The following is a 16,089-nucleotide window of genomic DNA, read 5'->3' as shown; positions in this document are numbered from 1 at the left end:
AATATTCTTTTGACTGCAAACCAAAATAAAATACATTTTACAACACAACCCAGTACACGCATATATACATACATAAGTGAAGCAAAACTTTCATGAAATATTTATTCTTATTTCAAGGTAGGATACCAACAGGACTTGTCTCCTGAGCCTCAGTCACTACTGATCACCCTGCTGATCAAAAAAGGATGTGACAAATAAACCAGCTGAAATCAGCTAAGACCAAGATGGCAATGAAAGCAACCTCTAGTTGCCCTCATTGCTCATTATATGCGAATTATAACACATTTACATAAGACACAGCCACCAACAGCATGACAATTTACCTACTATGCTGTGGCAATGCCTCAGAAGTTATATGACTCTGGGGACTCCCTGCCCCTTTTCCAGAAAGTTCATGAATAACCCACCCCCCTTTTAACAGTAGGTATAAATATAGCTGTCCAGCAATCCACTGGGCTACTCTGGGCTGCTCTGCCTATGCGACAGCCCTGCTGTGTCTATGGAGCAGCCATTTTGCTGTACCTTGCTGTTCTAATTTGCTTTCTTTCACTGTTGGCTCACTCTAAGTGAAGCTGAGAACCCTCCCAAGATAAGCCCCACTTTGTGGGCTTGCTGGCATCAGTATTTCCTGTTCTATTTCAATTTTTAATTCTAAGACAACTTTCTAAATTGAGTTCACGACTCACTAATGGGTCACAAAAGTTTGAAACATGATATGTGACTTAAATGCCACATTTCATTGCACAGTACCAAAACACTTAATGTGTTCCTATCTCTGACCCATCCCAATTCTTCTCCATAATTCTTGAATTACAGAAACCTTTTTAAGGTTTAACCAGAATTAATCCAGCATATTAAAGGTCAGAAGTCAGAATAATAGTAACCCTTTGAAGGCAAGGGGTCAGTGGCTGGAAGAGGACACAAGAGGGCCTTCTGAGGTGCTAGCAATGTTCTATTTATATTTTATTTTTTCATAAAAGAAATGCAAAAACAAAAGATAAAGACAAAAAGTACCACAAACTTTATAATAAAAACAGCAATCCTGTTTCACTACTCTGCACCCAGTAGTCTTATTTGCTCCCAAAACATCCACTTTCAATTCTTTCAGATATTTCTTGTTAGAAACTGACATGTTTCTAAATATCCTTCTTATACTACTATTTCTTTCTTCATCAATGTAAGAAGTCATATCATAATCTCCTATAAGGACCAATAAGGATCAGACCTTTTCTGCCACCCCACATATACATTAGTTTACATATCTCTTACCCTTCTTACATAGCAGAATCACAATTTGGTGTTAATTTAATTCTCGGTGTTTGCTTTATTAAGTACATTTTTTTCAACTGCTGGGCCAGTTGTCTACTTATGATTCCATTTCCTTACTGTACAATTTTTAGGATTTTTTTTTCTAGAGTTAAATGCATATCCTAATGAATTGTTTTAAGGCAAACACCCTTGCTACCATCACCCAGGTCAAGAAATAGAACTTTGCCCTCCACCCCAGAAACTCCTCCATGTACTCTGTAGCAATCTCAATCCCCACTCTACCCCCAAAGTAATTACTATCCCGATTCTTACAGTAATTACTCTCTTGGAATATTTCATACTTTTATCACCCAAATACGCATCCAAAGACATTATAGTTTAGTCTTGCCCATTTATTTTAAAAAAGTGTCTTTTAATTCTCTTTTAATCTACAGGCTTCCCTCTACTACTTTCTTTTCCTTTCAAATACAGTAAGATGTGTCTGTTGAAGAACCAAAGCATTTGACCTACAGTTTCCCAGAGTCTGGATTTTGCAGATTGCATACTCATGTAGTTGAATGTGTACTTCTGTTCTCTGTATTTCCTGTAAATTGGCAACTGGATCCAAAATTTGATTGTACATTCTATCCCTTTGACAAAACTATAGGTGGTAGTGTATTCTTTCATTAGGAAGCATATATCTGATTGTTTCTCTGTGTTGTTAGCAGCAGAGACTACATCCAGCGATTCTCAAACTTCTTAGTCTCAGGACCCCTTTACGCTCTTGAGGATTATTGGAAATGGCAAAGAGCTTTCGATTATGAAGGTTATATCTACCAATAGCTATCATAATAGAACTTAAAACTAAAGACATTTTAAAAGATTTTCCAATTCATCAAAAACAATAAATCCATTACATGTTAACATAAATAATTTCTATGAAAAATAATTGTATTTTCCAAAATAAAGTGGGAAGAATGCCATTGTTTAGCATTTCTGCAATTATCTTTAATTCAGGAGACAGCTGAATTCTCATATCTGATTCTTCATTCAAACTTTAGCATTATGTTGTTTTAGTTGAAGTCTATGAAGTACATCATGTGACCTAACACAGACATGTAGTTGGAAAAGGGAAGAGTATTGGAATTGTGGATATTCTTTTTTTTTTTCAAGACAGGTTCTTGCTCTGTCACCCAGGCTGCAGTACAGTGCCATGAACATAGCTCCCTGCAGCCTCAAACTCCTGGGCTCGAGCAATCCTCCTGCCTCAGCCTCCTGAGTAGCTGGTACTACAAGCATGCACTACTGCACCCAGCTAATTTTTCTATCTTTTGTAGAGACGGGGTCTTGCCATGTTGCCCAGACGGGTCTCAAACTCCTGGGCTCAAGTAAGCCTTCAACCTCAGCCTCCCCAACTGCTGGGATTACAGGCATGAGCCACTCACTAGACCCAACCGAGTGTGGACATTCCTTTTTTTTTCTTGAGACAGGAGGTTTCTTTTTTCTTTTTTTTTTTTTTTGACTGAGTCTCGCACTGTGGCTGAGGCTGAAGTGCAGTGGCACAATCTCAGCTCAATGCAACCTCCACCTCCTGGGTTCAAGTGATTCTCCTGCCTCAGCCTCTCGAGTAGCTGGGATTACAGGCGTCCACCACCACGCCTGGCTAATTTTTGTATTTTTAATAAAAACGGGGTTTTGCGGTTTTGCCATGTTGACCAGGCTGGTCTCGAATTTCTGACCTCAGGTGATCCACCCTCCTTGGCTTCTCAAAGTGCTGGGATTACAGGCATGAGCCACCACGCCCCGCCAAGTGGAGGTTTCTTTTTTTATTTTATTTTTTTGAAACGGAGTTTTGCTCTTGTTGCCCAAGCTGGAGTGCAATGGGGCGATCTCGGCTCCCTGCAACCTCCGCCTCCCGGGTTCATGCAATTCTCCTGCCTCAGCCTCCTGAGTAGCTGGGATTATAGGTGCGCGCCACCATACCCAGCTAATTTTTTGTATTTTTAGTAGAAACGGAGTTTCACCACGTTAGCCAGGCTGGTCTCAAACTCCTAACCTCAGGTGATCCGCCCACCTCGGCCTCCCAAAGTGCTGGGATTACAGGCGTGAGCCACCGCTCCCGGGCCGACGTTTCTTAAAAGTTAGGCCGGGCGCGGTGGTTCACGCCTGTAATCCCAGCACTTGGGAGGCCGAGACGGGCGGATCACGAGGTCAGGAGATCGAGACCATCCTGGCTAACACCGTGAAACCCCATCTCTACTAAAAATACAAAAAAATTAGCCGGGCGTGTTGGCGGGCGCCTGTAGTCTCTACTAAAAATACAAAAAATTAGCCGGGCGTGTTGGCAGGCACCTGTAGTCCCAGCTACTCGGGAGGCTGAGGCAGGAGAATGGCGTGAACCCAGGAGGTGGAGCTTGCAGTGAGCCAAGATCGCACCACTGCACTCCAGCCTGGGGGACAGAGAGAGACTCCGTCTCAAAAAAAAAAAAAAAAAAAAAAAAAAAAAAAAAAAAAAGTTAGCTGGAATGTAGAATTTGAAACCGTCTATCAATGAATTTTTCATACTCTGTTATAATAAAATATTGTATTTGAATGGATCTCTTACTGATCCATTCAATGGATCCATAAATGAGTGGATTATTATTTAAAGAATGCAGAACATCATCCATTGGTTTTTTTGGAAAAATATCGGCTCCATGAGTTATACGGCCCTTTCAAATTTTGACTTTATATAATTCCAAAAACTCACCTTTGTTAATATTACCTGTCCCGTTAAAAAACAAAAAAAAAATTTTTAATAGTAGGAAGTTATGAAGCAGATACAAGTTTTCTAAAATTCTAATTTTCACTTGAAAGCCCAAATTTTATCTTTAGAAACAAACACTTCAGTTGTTTTCCTTGACGTGACTGCTGACTTCATTCGTTTTTGAGAAAATGTCTGTAAAATACTCAAGTATGAATTAACCATCACATGTGTGCCATTTGTTCTCTCAAGTAAAATGTGTTTCATGAAAAAAAGTAGTTGGTTTAGCTCATAATGCAAATCATCTCTTAAGGGTTGAGATTCAATAAAATTAACCAATGTTTTCTGCTTCATCGAGGTCTTAAGTGAAAATTAGTGCTTTTCTTTTTCCTGTGAATGCATAAGTGCATGACAAATATAGTGACTACTAGTTTGGTGCCAGTGCTTTGATTCATGCTAAGATGCCAACAGTGTTACCCACCATTACTTTTGCACCATCAGTGTAAATGTCAACATACAATGAAAATGGCAAACAATATCTTAGTATTATTATGAATAGTCTTGATCTTTCAGGTCCCCTCAAAGGGTCTCAGAGACTACCCCAAGGACTCCACAAACCGTATTTTGAGAACCCCTGCTAGATCAATTCATTGGCAGCTGTCAAAAATGATGGTAATGTTCTGTCATTTCTTTTTCAGTTATTACTTAAATACGTTTGATAGAAGACACTACTCCTCATCTACTATTTAATTATCCAATGATACAGTTCATACAGGAAAAACAATAAACATATGATTGTTTCCCTTTGTCAATTTTCAAGACAATGAGTAGGTTCCCTGTTATCCTCCAAAGACTATAATTAGTTGATTTTTAAAATATTATCACAAACTCTTGTTTAAACATACCTGATGGGGTTTTTTTTCTTAATTTTTGATTTTTATTTTTTTAGTAGAGATGAGGTTTTGCCATGTTGCCCAGGCTGGTTTCAAACTCCTGGGCTTAATTAAGCCTCGGCCTCCCAAAGTGCCAAGATTACAGGCATGAGCCACCATGCCCAGCCTGATGGGTTTTAATCAACTGCAATTACTATCTCTTTTAAAGCTCAAATTTTCTCAACTTTGGTAAGTGAGAACTACAGGTTGGCTCCTGAATCCTTTCGGCATCACTCAAGTAGGCTTTGATAACTTCCTTGCAATTAGCAGTGACAAAATATTCTAGACTCACATTGTACACTTCCTGCCCCATGGGGAATAAGCAATTTCTGCAACCAGCCATTTCTTCTAGTAGAAAAAGATATTTTAAGATCACAATGGTATGGATGTAACAGATTTGGTCATTATTTCTAAGCTTCTTCAGTGGACAGAGCCAGAAAAACATTTAAAGATGAAATACTAATTAAAGTTTATACTAATACTTTTTCAGAATTACAGAATTTTTTACCTACTCCCTTCTGTATTACATCTGTATCTCTTTTCTCCTCCACCAAGAATCTTAATTCTCAAGCACCAAGGGATGAAGTAGAATTATATTTATTTACATATTTTAAGCCATGTTACACATATAATAATCTCATAACAATACTAATGCTAATGCTCAGTAACATAATTACTGAGTTTAATTTGCCTAACTCATGTATTTCATTTGCTTTTTATGTGCCTAACTCCAACTCTAATATACTCACCTCTAAAATCTCTCTTAAAACCATAGTCCACATGGTCAAAATGTTTTTTTCTAGAGACCTCCCTCCTGGACCCATCCAGAACATATTCCAAACTGAGTCATTGCACAGATGCCACCCTGGGGCTTTTCTCACTATTCTATGTTACCCTGTTTCCAGGATCCAGTATCTTCTTCCTTGGTTTACGCCGCCATTTTGGTGGACACATTCATTCTCTAATTAGCTTTGTGAGTAGGGATGTGTAAGAAGTTAATTTTTTAGCACTTACATTAAAAAATTTTTTTCTACCCTCAAATTTGGATTATTTATTAGGGAATAGAATTCTAGGATCAAAAATTTTGCTTAAGAATTTTGAAAGCATTATTCTGTCATTTGTAGCATCCAAGGTTTCTGTTGAGAAATCTAATGCTACGGTTCTGATATTTCAGGATAATGTGCCTTGATATGAGCTTTCTTTTTATTCATCGGATTGGCTTTTCAAACTGAAAAATTCAGTTCGGAAAATTCTCTATTATTTCTCTGATAATTTCCTAGTTTCTATGTTCTCAGTTCTTTTTCTAGAACTCATTAACTAGATATTGGATCTTTTTTATTAAACATTTAATTTTATTTTCTCTCCTAATACCCATTTCTTTGTTCTTGCTCCATTGTCCAGATTTCCTTTACGTTATCTTCTATTGAATATTTTGTTTTGGTCAAAATATGTTTAATTTCCTAAGAGCTCTTTCCTATGTCTTTTTTTTTAAAATAGCACTCAGTTCTTTTTTCAGAGATGTAATATTTTCACTTATCTCCCTGAGGTTGTTACAGTTTAGGTTTTCTTTTGTTCCCTAAGTGTCTTCTGATCCCTCCTCCAAAGTTTTTCCTTAGTATTTTGTTGTTTTTGAGTAGGGGGTTGACGTTGTCTTGTTGGAAATTTTCCTTGAATATCTGGTGATCCTTGGCTATTTGTTCATAATTAAAACAATTAAAAGCCTGAAGGAAGCTCTCTGCATGAATAAAGCTTATCAACTGCTGATCTTCACCACAAGATGATGGAGTAGCAAGCTGGCTTTTCTCTGCAGCCATTCCAAATAATTTTCCAAATCTCTGCCAGGAAGGTAGTATATGTGTGACTACCAGTGTTGCTTCTCACAGCTGGGAAGTACTACCCTTTAGCATGCAGAATTCAATTTAATTCCCTTTTTTTCAACTTGGGCCTAACAGCTCAGATGATTCTAGAGCCTCTTCATCTGTTCAGTTTCCCCAGAGAAAAAGTCTCCAATACTCTGCTAAGAAAAGGTAAAGTCACCTGGTGGTAAAAGAGATCTTGGGACCTAACTGTTCCTTAGAATAGTCTTTTTCTTCTTTCCCACCCTACCTGGCACCTAGTATATCCAAGTTTTGGGCCTTCTGGAGTTCTGCTGGGAGGCTCAACCAGTATAACCCCTCTTCAGGAACTTAGGTAGTGGTCTCTCTGCTCTGAGTCAGTGACCACTTCTCCATCAACTTCAGAATCTTCCAAAAATCTTCCGATATATCTCAGCTATTGTTTCCTTTCCTACTCACTTTGCCCTTGTGGATTAATATCATTTTCTTTCCTTATTGTTGCTTTAGTGGGATATGGAAAGCACCAACAGAGATAAATTCATGTACTCAATCTGCCATGTTTAATCAAATATCTCAAATAATCTTATTTAAACTACTTGTTTATTCTTTTCTCCTCCAGATTAGACATTCCTTTAAAACAGGAACTTTGTTTTTTTCATTTTTGCATCTCTAGCATATAACCCATAGAATATTTACTGAATATATGTTTCAATGATAAATTATAACAGTAATATACAGTAGAGATGGCATGGAAAGAGCACAAGATTTTAAGAAAGGCAGTTCCAAAACTTAAAAGCTGCACCAAAATAAAGTACTTAGCCCCTCTGAGCCTCAGAGTCAGATAATTGAATGGATATAAAAATCCATTACGTGGTGAGAATTAAATAATGTAATATTTTTCAAACTGAAATTTGAACTTATTAGATTATGACCAAATCAATTTAGCAGGTTGTGAGCAGCACTTTTTTTTTGAGACAGAGTCTCACTCCCATTACCCAGGCTGGAGTGTGGTGGCTCAAACAGGACTCACTGCAGCCTCAACCTCCCAGGCTCAGGTGATCCTCCCAGATAAGCCTCCCGAGTGGTTGGGACTATAGGTGTGCGCCACTAAGCCCAGCTAATTTTTCTTATTTTTAGTAGAGAAGGGGTTTTGCCAATATCGCCCAGGCTGTTCTCAAACCCTGGGCTCAAGAGATACACCCACCTCAGCCTCCTAAAGTACTGAGATTTCAGGCATGAGCTACCACATCCAGCCAAGCAGCAATTTTTTTTTTTTTTAAGATATACTTTAGGGATACCAAGAGTTCATCACATGTAATAAGCGTTGCTTTAACAAATTGTTTCAGTTGTTACAAATAAGTTTTGTATGTGTGTACTGGATTGTGATGTAAGATGTATTTCATGAAATTACCATACATAAAAGTACTAGAAAACTGAAGTGCTAAATTACATGTTCTGACTATAAGGTCACCAGAATTTCAAAAAAGGTGACCAGTGTAACTTAGAGTAGTCTGAGGAAGTTTTAAGAAGGTATGGGACTTAGCCTAGTTCTTGAAAGATAAGTAGAATTTAAGTAGATGAAAAGAGGGTATATCAGGAGATAGGCAGCATAAGTGAAGAGGCTTGCTGTCAGCCAGACGGCAGCTGTGACTTAGTTGTGTTAAAACCTGTTGACGGCCAGGTGCGGTGGCTCACGCCTGTAATCCCAGCACTTTGGGAGTCCGAGGCGGGTGGATCACGAGATCTGGAGGTTAAGACCATCCTGGCTAACACGGTGAAACCCCATCTCTACTAAAAAATACAAAAAATTAGCCGGACGTGGTGGTGGGCACCTGTAGTCCCAGCTACTCGGGAGGCTGAGGCAGGAGAATGGCGTGAATCCAGGAGGCGGAGCTTGCAGTGAGCCAAGATCGCGCCACTGCATTCCAGCCTGGGCGACAGAGCAAGAATCTGTGTCAAAAAATAAAATAAATAAAAATACAAAAAGTAGCTGGGCATGGTGGCACACACCTGTAATCCCACCTACTTGGGAGGCTGAGCAGAAGAATCACTTGAACCTGGGAGGCAGAGGTTGCAGTGAGCTGAGATCGCCCCACTGCACTCCAGACTGGGGGACAGAGTGAGACTCTGTCTCAAAAAATAAAAATAAAGTATTATGATAAATTATAACAGTAATATATGGTAGAAATGAGACCCATCTAGTAGTAAGTAGTGAGACCCTGTCTCTACAAAAAAAATTTTTTTTTAATTAGCCAGGTATGGTAGAATGCCTGTAGTCCTAGCTACTCGGTAGGATCGCTAGAGTCCAGGAGTTCAAGGCTGCAGTGAGCTATGATTGCACCACTGCCTTCCCATCTGGTTGACAGAGCAAAACTCCGTCTTCCAAAAAAAAAAAAAAAAGTGTTACAGTGTTGTCTAGTCAATATTTCTCCCTCCTCCATCAAACTCTGTCCCAAGGTGCAGAAGACCAGACCTATAGCAAAGTACACTGGCCAGATAGGCACATCATTAATGGCACTACCCAAACTCCTCACCACTTTCCTCTGGACTGTAACACCTCCCCGACCTCTACCTCCCAACTTGAGGAAAAAGGAATACATCTATTTCCCAAAGGTTTAGACAACTGTGCTTTTCCATACAGCACATATAATCAGGCATTCAGCAGCCAGAGGAAGGTTTGACTGCATTAATACCTTACTTCGAAAGATCCTACTGTCCACCTGTGTTAGAAGCCTCCCCTTCTGTGAAACACTAGGATGATGTCCTTCCGCTTCATAAGGTATTGGTCCACTTTTCCATTTCCATGGATATTTTTTGTTTTTGTTGAGACAAGGACTGACTCTATGGCCCAGGCTGGGGGTGCAGTTGCGTGATCTCAGCTCACTGCAACCTCCATCTCCCAGGCTCAAGCAATCCTCCCACCTCAGCCTCCCGAGTAGCTGGCGTGTGCTACCATGCCCGACTAATTTTCGTATTTTTAGTAGAGACGGGGTTTCACCATGTTGGCCAGGCTGGTCTCGAACTCTTGACCTCAGGTGATCCACCCGCCTTGGCCTCCCAAAGTGCTGGGATTACAGGCGTGAGCCACCGGCCCCGGCCTATTTACATGTTGGACTGAATTAGGTACGCTCAGCCCACTGGTAAAATAATAAACATTTTAGGGCTGTTTTCTCAGAAATAGAACTCTCCCTAGGAACTCTTTCACAAAGCATATCCATTTAGTATTGTTCAACTAACATTCACTGAGGGTCTTCAAGCATCAGGAACGTTCAGGGCGAGGGGCACAGCAGTGAATAAGCCAGGTACCCAGTCTAGAGGAGCTGCCATGCTAAGAGGGCGCGCAGACGCCTATGAGCTTTAGTACTGCCCGGTACTGCCGAGCACAGTAAGTGCAGGACAGAGGTAAGCACAGTGCAAGGCTCTAGGGGAAAGTCAGGAGGATCCGAGGCGTCCTGGAGAAGATCCGATCTGAACGGATCCTTTCAGGATGCACAAAAGTTAACAGGTGAAGATACACGGTACAAACAGAACAGAAGCAAAGCAACAGAGGCATCAGACAACTGCGTCCGGGGAGAAACGAAAGGCAGTTTGGCATTAAGGAGCATGCGGGCGATGAGGGGAAAACGGCCGTGGGAGCCTGCGGCGTCCGGGTCCCAAGCAGTCACTGGAGGGACAGAGGGAGGCCGGAATCTGCCACTCGGGCCGAGGCGCTGGGCATCAGGAGCGTTTCTCCTCGCCATCCACATCTGGAGCTGTCTCTGTGAGGGCTCCTGTGGGGGCTGTTCCTGGGAGGGCCGAGCAGGCGGCATTCGCGACCTGCCTCCCTCCGGGGCAAGCCAGCCCACACACCTCGGGACTCCGCTCAGAATCTAAAGAGGTGAGATCCTTGGATTATCTCGGGGCTGCTTCATGAACTCTGACCAGAAGAAAAGGGAAGGAGGAAGCAGAAGGCCGCAGGAACCAGCCCGAGACGCTATGACCCCAGAGATTCCGCAGAGTACAAGCCACCAAGTCGCCACGCCGATGACCCACGCGCGGAGCAGTCGAAGCTAGGAGACCGGAGGGACAGAGAAACCCAGGCACCGACCGCCCCCGAGCCTCAGAGGGCCAGCAGGGCCGCTGCTCGGTTTACCTTGGTCATGCCAACCCCCACCACGAACACCCGGCGCAGGGTCGCAGGCTCCCACGGGGAAGAGGACATGGCTGCACCAGTGCGGGACCGGGGCGGGCGCCGCGGACGACTGCCGGCACTGACAGGCGGAGACTGCACCAGAGCTCCCTGAAGCCCGAAGCCAGGGCCGCGGGCGGCAACACAGGCGCGTGAGAGTGCGCGTGCGTAGGGGCAGGAGGAGGGGGCGGGGTGGGGCGCGTCCTGTGGGGCGGGGAGCGTTCTCTAGCCCTTAGGCAGCCGAATCCCTAATTTGCGGACTTGGGCATGGGACTGAGTCAACCTGTCCCCATCTCTGATCCTGTGCTTAGGTTCTGTACGGTGAGCGGGAGTAGGCTTGCAGTGGGGCCTAAGACTGAGAGGAGGGGTTGGCCGGAAAGCGGACTCATGAAAGGTGACCCTGAGGAGAGCCGTTGGGGTTCGTGTTGGAATTGGCCTGTGTCCTGTTAGCGGTGGCAGTTGAGAGTGAATTCATGAATTTAAACTCACAGGACACCAAGAAAGCGGGGATGGGCAGGATCTCACACATGGATACAATGTCTAAATCAAAAAACCCAGGCTCCGTCACCAGCTGCGTGACCTTTTTAATCTTGTGAACAAAAGTTCTCCGAAAAGGAATTTGGAAGACAGAGACTTTATTCCAGCAAACCGGGGAGAAACAGCCTTCCATGTTTATTGGAGACCGGAGTCTCGCTCTGTCGCCCAGGCTGGAGTGCAATGCCGCGAACTCGGCTCACTGCAGCCTCCGCCTCCCAGGTTCAAGCAATCCTCCTGCCTCAGCCTCCCGAGTATCTGGGATTACAGGCGCGCGCCACCACGCCCCGCTAATTTTTGTATTTTTAGTAGAGATGGGGTTTCGCCATGTTGGCCAGGCTGGTCTGGAACTCCTGACCTTAGGTGATCTACCCACCTTGGCCTCCCAAAGTGCTGGGATTACAGGCGTGAGCCACCGCGCCCGGCTCCCCGGTTTATTTTATCTTATGTAAAAATGCAGATTCATTGAGCTAGATGAATGCATAAGTGACTATTTCTCTACCCCCCTCACATGTGAAGGTTGATCAAAGACTCAGAAGAATGCAACCGTTTGCCTCTTATCTACCCACATCTTTTTAAAATTTATTCATCTTTCCCCAATATCTGCCCCTTCCCCTATAAAAACTGAAGCCCTCAAAATCATCTTTGGAGAAAGGCACGGACCTGTCTCCAAAGATGATGCACGTCCTTAAACTTGGCAAAATTAACTTCTAAATTAATTGAGATCCGTTTCATATACTTTTCGGTTTGCAGTATCAGCATTTAGAAAGGCTCTCCTAGAAGATTCTAAGGATTGCTTCTTGGCCATTTGGCTAAGATCAAGTTTAGGAGATTCTAAGAAGCCCCCTCTGTGCTAAGTAAAGAACTACTGAGCTAGGACTAGACCAACTTAGTAAAATTGCTGCGCTCAGTGATGCACGCCTCCCATCTGCTCAGGAGGCTTCGGCAGAAAGATCACTTGAGCCTGGGAATTCAAGGCTACAAATGTGCTATGATTACACCTCTGAATAGCCACTGCACTCCAGCCTGGGCAACATACCAAGACCACGTCTCTAAAAAACCAAAACGAAACAAAAAAAAAAAAAAAAGAAAAACAAACACAAATCAGGGCACTGACATGTACAGTTGTTTCTTGAAACTGATGGACTGACAAGACAGCAATATGATTGGTGGATCAGACAAAGTTACCAACCTAATAGAACAACAAGTCCTAAGGTCAAGATTAATTGTTATGTAACAAATCCTGGCTGTCCACTGGATATTGCTTTCAAAATAAGAGTCCATAGAGGGCAGAGGGGATAGATAGTAATATAAAAGGTATTTGTTAATACCGAAAAGACTGAGAAAAAACACTTCCCTTTCCAATGTGAAGGACTAAATAATCCAAACTTTTCCCACTATAAAACACAGACTTTTCTAAGTCATTGGATGTGGGGCTCTGGGGTAGCCTGAGCTGTTTGTCCCACACCAAGATGCTTCAAAACATTATTAAAAATGTTTGGATCCCCATGAAGCCCTATTATAACCAAGTTTATCAGGAGATTTGAGTAGGAATGGGGTTAATGAGCCTCATCATTTATAAAATCAGGAGTACTGATAAAATAAGTAAAATATTGAAAGCTTCTCCACCTGCTTATGGTCATCACTAACCAGCTTCACTTAGCATGCACATGAAATGAAACATTAGTCGACCTGTGAATTTAAGCAAGCTATGTTAGAAAGGAACCTGGAAAATCACTGTACACTTATATAAGTACCACTTACTTTGTGGCATGAATAAGTATACCAAAAAAAAACACCCAGAAATGCCAGATAAAATACAATAAATATCATTTTAAGCTGGGTGTGGTGGTACGAGACTGTAATCCCATCTACTTGAGGAGCTGAGGCAGAAAGGCTGCTTGAGTCCAGGAGTTCAAGGCTGCAGTGAGCTACGATTATGCCTGTGAATAGCCACTGCACTCCAGCCTGGACAGCATAGTGAGACCTTTTCTGTTAATACAAAAAGACAAAAAGCAGCGAGGCACAGTGGCTCATGCCTGTAATCCCAGCACTTTGGGAGGCCAAAATGGGAGGATTGATTGAGCCCAAGAATTCAAGACCAACCTGGGCAACATAGCTCCCTATCTCTAAAAAAAAAGAAGAAAAAACAAGAAAAATCTTTTTAAATGGGTGGATGCCAGGCATGGGGGCTCACACCTGTAATCCCAGCACTTTGGGAGGCTGAGGTGGGAGGATCACTTGAGGCCAGGTGTTTGAGACCAGCCTGGCAACATAGGGAGACCTCTGTCTCTACAAAAAATTTAACAATGAGCCAAGTGTGGTGGCCCACTCCTGTAGTCCCAGCTACTCGGAAGGCTGAGACGGGAGGATCCCCTGAGCCCAGGAGTCTGAGGTTGTAGTGAACTGACTGCACCACTGTACTCCAATGTGGGCAACAGAGTGAGACCCTGTCTCAATAAAATAGAATACAATAAATGCATGGAATATGGAGGAGGGAAGGTTTTTCTTTTAATCTTATACCCAATTATAGTTTGTATGTTTTGTTTTTGCTTCTTTTTTTTTTTTAAGACAGAATCTCACTCTGTTGCCCAGGTTGGAGTGCAGTGGTGTGATCTCAGCTCACTACAACCTCCACCTCCTGGGTTCAAGCGATTCTTGCACCTCAGCCTCCTGAGTAGCTGGGATTACAGCTGCCCACAACCACGCCTGGCTAATTTTTGTATTTTTAGTAGAGACAGGGTTTCACCATGTTGGCCAGGCTGGTCTTGAACTCCTGACCTCAGGTGACCCACCCACCTCAGCCTCCTAAAGTGCTGGGATTACAGGCATGAGCCACCGGGCCTGGCTAGTTTGTATGTTTTGATTTTGTGTATATATTAGTTTTATTTTTGCTAAGGCATGTTTTTAATTTTTGTTATTGTGCTTTGTTTTCATTTTCATTATTTATTTTGAGTAAGTTATACTTAAAACAAAAATCAAGATTCAAAAAGTATAAAAGGGGCCAGGCATGGTGGTTCACACCTGTAATCCCAGCACTTTGGAAGGCCAAGGTGGACAAATCGCCTGAGCTCAGGAGTTCGAGACCAACCTTGGCAACATGGCAAAACCCCGTCTCTACAAGAAATACAAAAATTAGCCAATGTTGTGGCATGTACCTGTGGTCCCAGCTACTCAGGAGGGTGAGGTGGAAGGATCACCTGAGCCCGGGAGGCAGAAGCTGCAGTGAGCCAAGATACTGCCACTGCACTCCAATCTGGGCAACAACAACATCCTGTGTCCAAAAACGTATAACAGGTCAAACCGTAAAACTTGTCTCTCTTACCCTTATTCCCAGCCTCTCGGTTCTTCTTCCCTATCCTTCCAAAGATGTTTTATGTAAATACAATCAAATATACACATGCATACTCTTATCCCCCTTGTTAACACAAATTTTTGTTTTCTTTATTATTTCTTTCAATAGAGGTGGGGTTTTGCTATGTTGGCTAGGTTGGTCTTGAACTCCTGGCCTCAAGCAATCCTCCTGTCTCGGCCTCCCAAAGTGCTAGGTTCATGAGCATGAGCCACCAGACCCGGCCAAATTTTAGCTTTCTTTACACACTATTCTGCATTTTGACTTGTTTCATATACCAATAGATTTTGAAGATTGTTTCATATCAATGCATAAACAGTTTCCTGTGTTTTGTTATAGCTGCATAGTATTCAGATTATTGATGTACCTTTTTTTTTTTTTTAAGTAGAGATAGGGGCTTGCTATATTTCCCAGGCTGGTTTCAAACTCCTGGCTTCCAGGGACCTACCTGCCTTGGCCTTCCAAAGTGTTGGAATAATAGGGTGAGCCACCACACACAGCCCCATAATTTATTTAACCAACCCTCTATTGATGGATATTGAGACTGTGATATAGTTTGGGTGTTGGATCCCTCCAAATCTCACGTTGAAATATGATTCCCAATGTTGGAGGTGGGCCCTGTTGGGAGGTGACTGGATCATGGGGACAGATCCCTTGTGAATGGTTTAGCACCATCCCCTTGGCGATAAACTGGGACCTCCCCACCTAATTTTCTTGTTCCTATTCTCGCCATGTGACATGCTGGATCCCTGTCACCTTCAGCCATGATTGTAAGCTTCCTGAGGCCTCACCAGAAGCACATGACAGCACCATGTGCTTCCAGTCTTTTGCTATTATAAACAATGCTGCAATGTACAGCCATGAACACGTGTCATTTCACAGCTGTGTGGATTTATCTGTAGGTTAAATTTCTAAAATTGGAATTTCTGGGGCAATGAGCTTGTGCATTTATAATTTTGATATAAATTACCAGTTGCTTTTCATTTAAAGACATTCACATCAGCAATGTGAGAGTGCTTTGTATATACTGTGTTTAAGAGAATAATTTTTTTTTTTGGGACGCAGTTTCGCTCATTGCCCAGCCTGGAGTGCAGTGGCGCGATCTCAGCTCACTGAACCTGTGCCTTCCGAGTTCAAGTGATTCTCCTGCCTCAGCCTCCCAAGTAGCTGGGATTACAGGCGCCCGCCACCACGCCCAGCTAATTTTTTTGAATGTTTAACAGAGACAGGGTTTCGTCATGGTGAAACCCTGCCTCTACTAAAAATACAAAAAAAAT

The 16,089-nt window shown here is 42.6% G+C and overlaps 1 protein-coding gene and 1 pseudogene across 12 annotated transcripts in view, besides 4 other annotated features; one reads left to right on the top strand and one right to left on the bottom strand.

The window, feature by feature from the left end:
• Positions 1 to 11,080, bottom strand: part of SCP2 (sterol carrier protein 2) — a 124,423-nt gene extending 113,343 nt beyond the window's left edge. For all 12 annotated transcript variants that reach the window (NM_002979.5, XM_005271103.5, NM_001193600.2 and 9 more), the window contains exon 1: positions 10,891 to 11,080. In NM_002979.5, the coding sequence (NP_002970.2) occupies positions 10,891 to 10,959 (69 nt within the window). In that variant the 5' untranslated portion in view covers positions 10,960 to 11,080. The remainder of the gene's footprint in view (positions 1 to 10,890) is intronic.
• Positions 10,470 to 10,985: an enhancer, noted in NCBI's record as "H3K4me1 hESC enhancer chr1:53393043-53393558 (GRCh37/hg19 assembly coordinates)". NCBI's record gives its function as "activates a minimal SCP1, AML or CMV promoter by ChIP-STARR-seq in naive H9 embryonic stem cells {active_cell/tissue: H9 hESC(naive)}" and the evidence as "EXISTENCE:reporter gene assay evidence [ECO:0000049][PMID:30033119]".
• Positions 10,658 to 10,747: an enhancer, noted in NCBI's record as "active region_1039". NCBI's record gives its function as "activates an Ori minimal core promoter by ATAC-STARR-seq in GM12878 lymphoblastoid cells {active_cell/tissue: GM12878}" and the evidence as "EXISTENCE:reporter gene assay evidence [ECO:0000049][PMID:35858748]".
• Positions 10,758 to 10,817: an enhancer, noted in NCBI's record as "active region_1038". NCBI's record gives its function as "activates an Ori minimal core promoter by ATAC-STARR-seq in GM12878 lymphoblastoid cells {active_cell/tissue: GM12878}" and the evidence as "EXISTENCE:reporter gene assay evidence [ECO:0000049][PMID:35858748]".
• Positions 11,038 to 11,317: a silencer, noted in NCBI's record as "silent region_901". NCBI's record gives its function as "represses an Ori minimal core promoter by ATAC-STARR-seq in GM12878 lymphoblastoid cells {active_cell/tissue: GM12878}" and the evidence as "EXISTENCE:reporter gene assay evidence [ECO:0000049][PMID:35858748]".
• On the top strand, positions 12,924 to 13,106 carry LOC100652967 (ATP synthase membrane subunit j pseudogene; annotated as a pseudogene).

Source organism: Homo sapiens, chromosome 1 (genome assembly GCF_000001405.40).
Source record: "Homo sapiens chromosome 1, GRCh38.p14 Primary Assembly".
In the NCBI taxonomy this organism is placed as follows: Eukaryota; Metazoa; Chordata; class Mammalia; order Primates; family Hominidae; genus Homo; species Homo sapiens.
The sequence above is the reverse complement of the archived record's forward strand: the minus strand, read 5'-3'. Positions and strand labels throughout refer to the sequence as shown.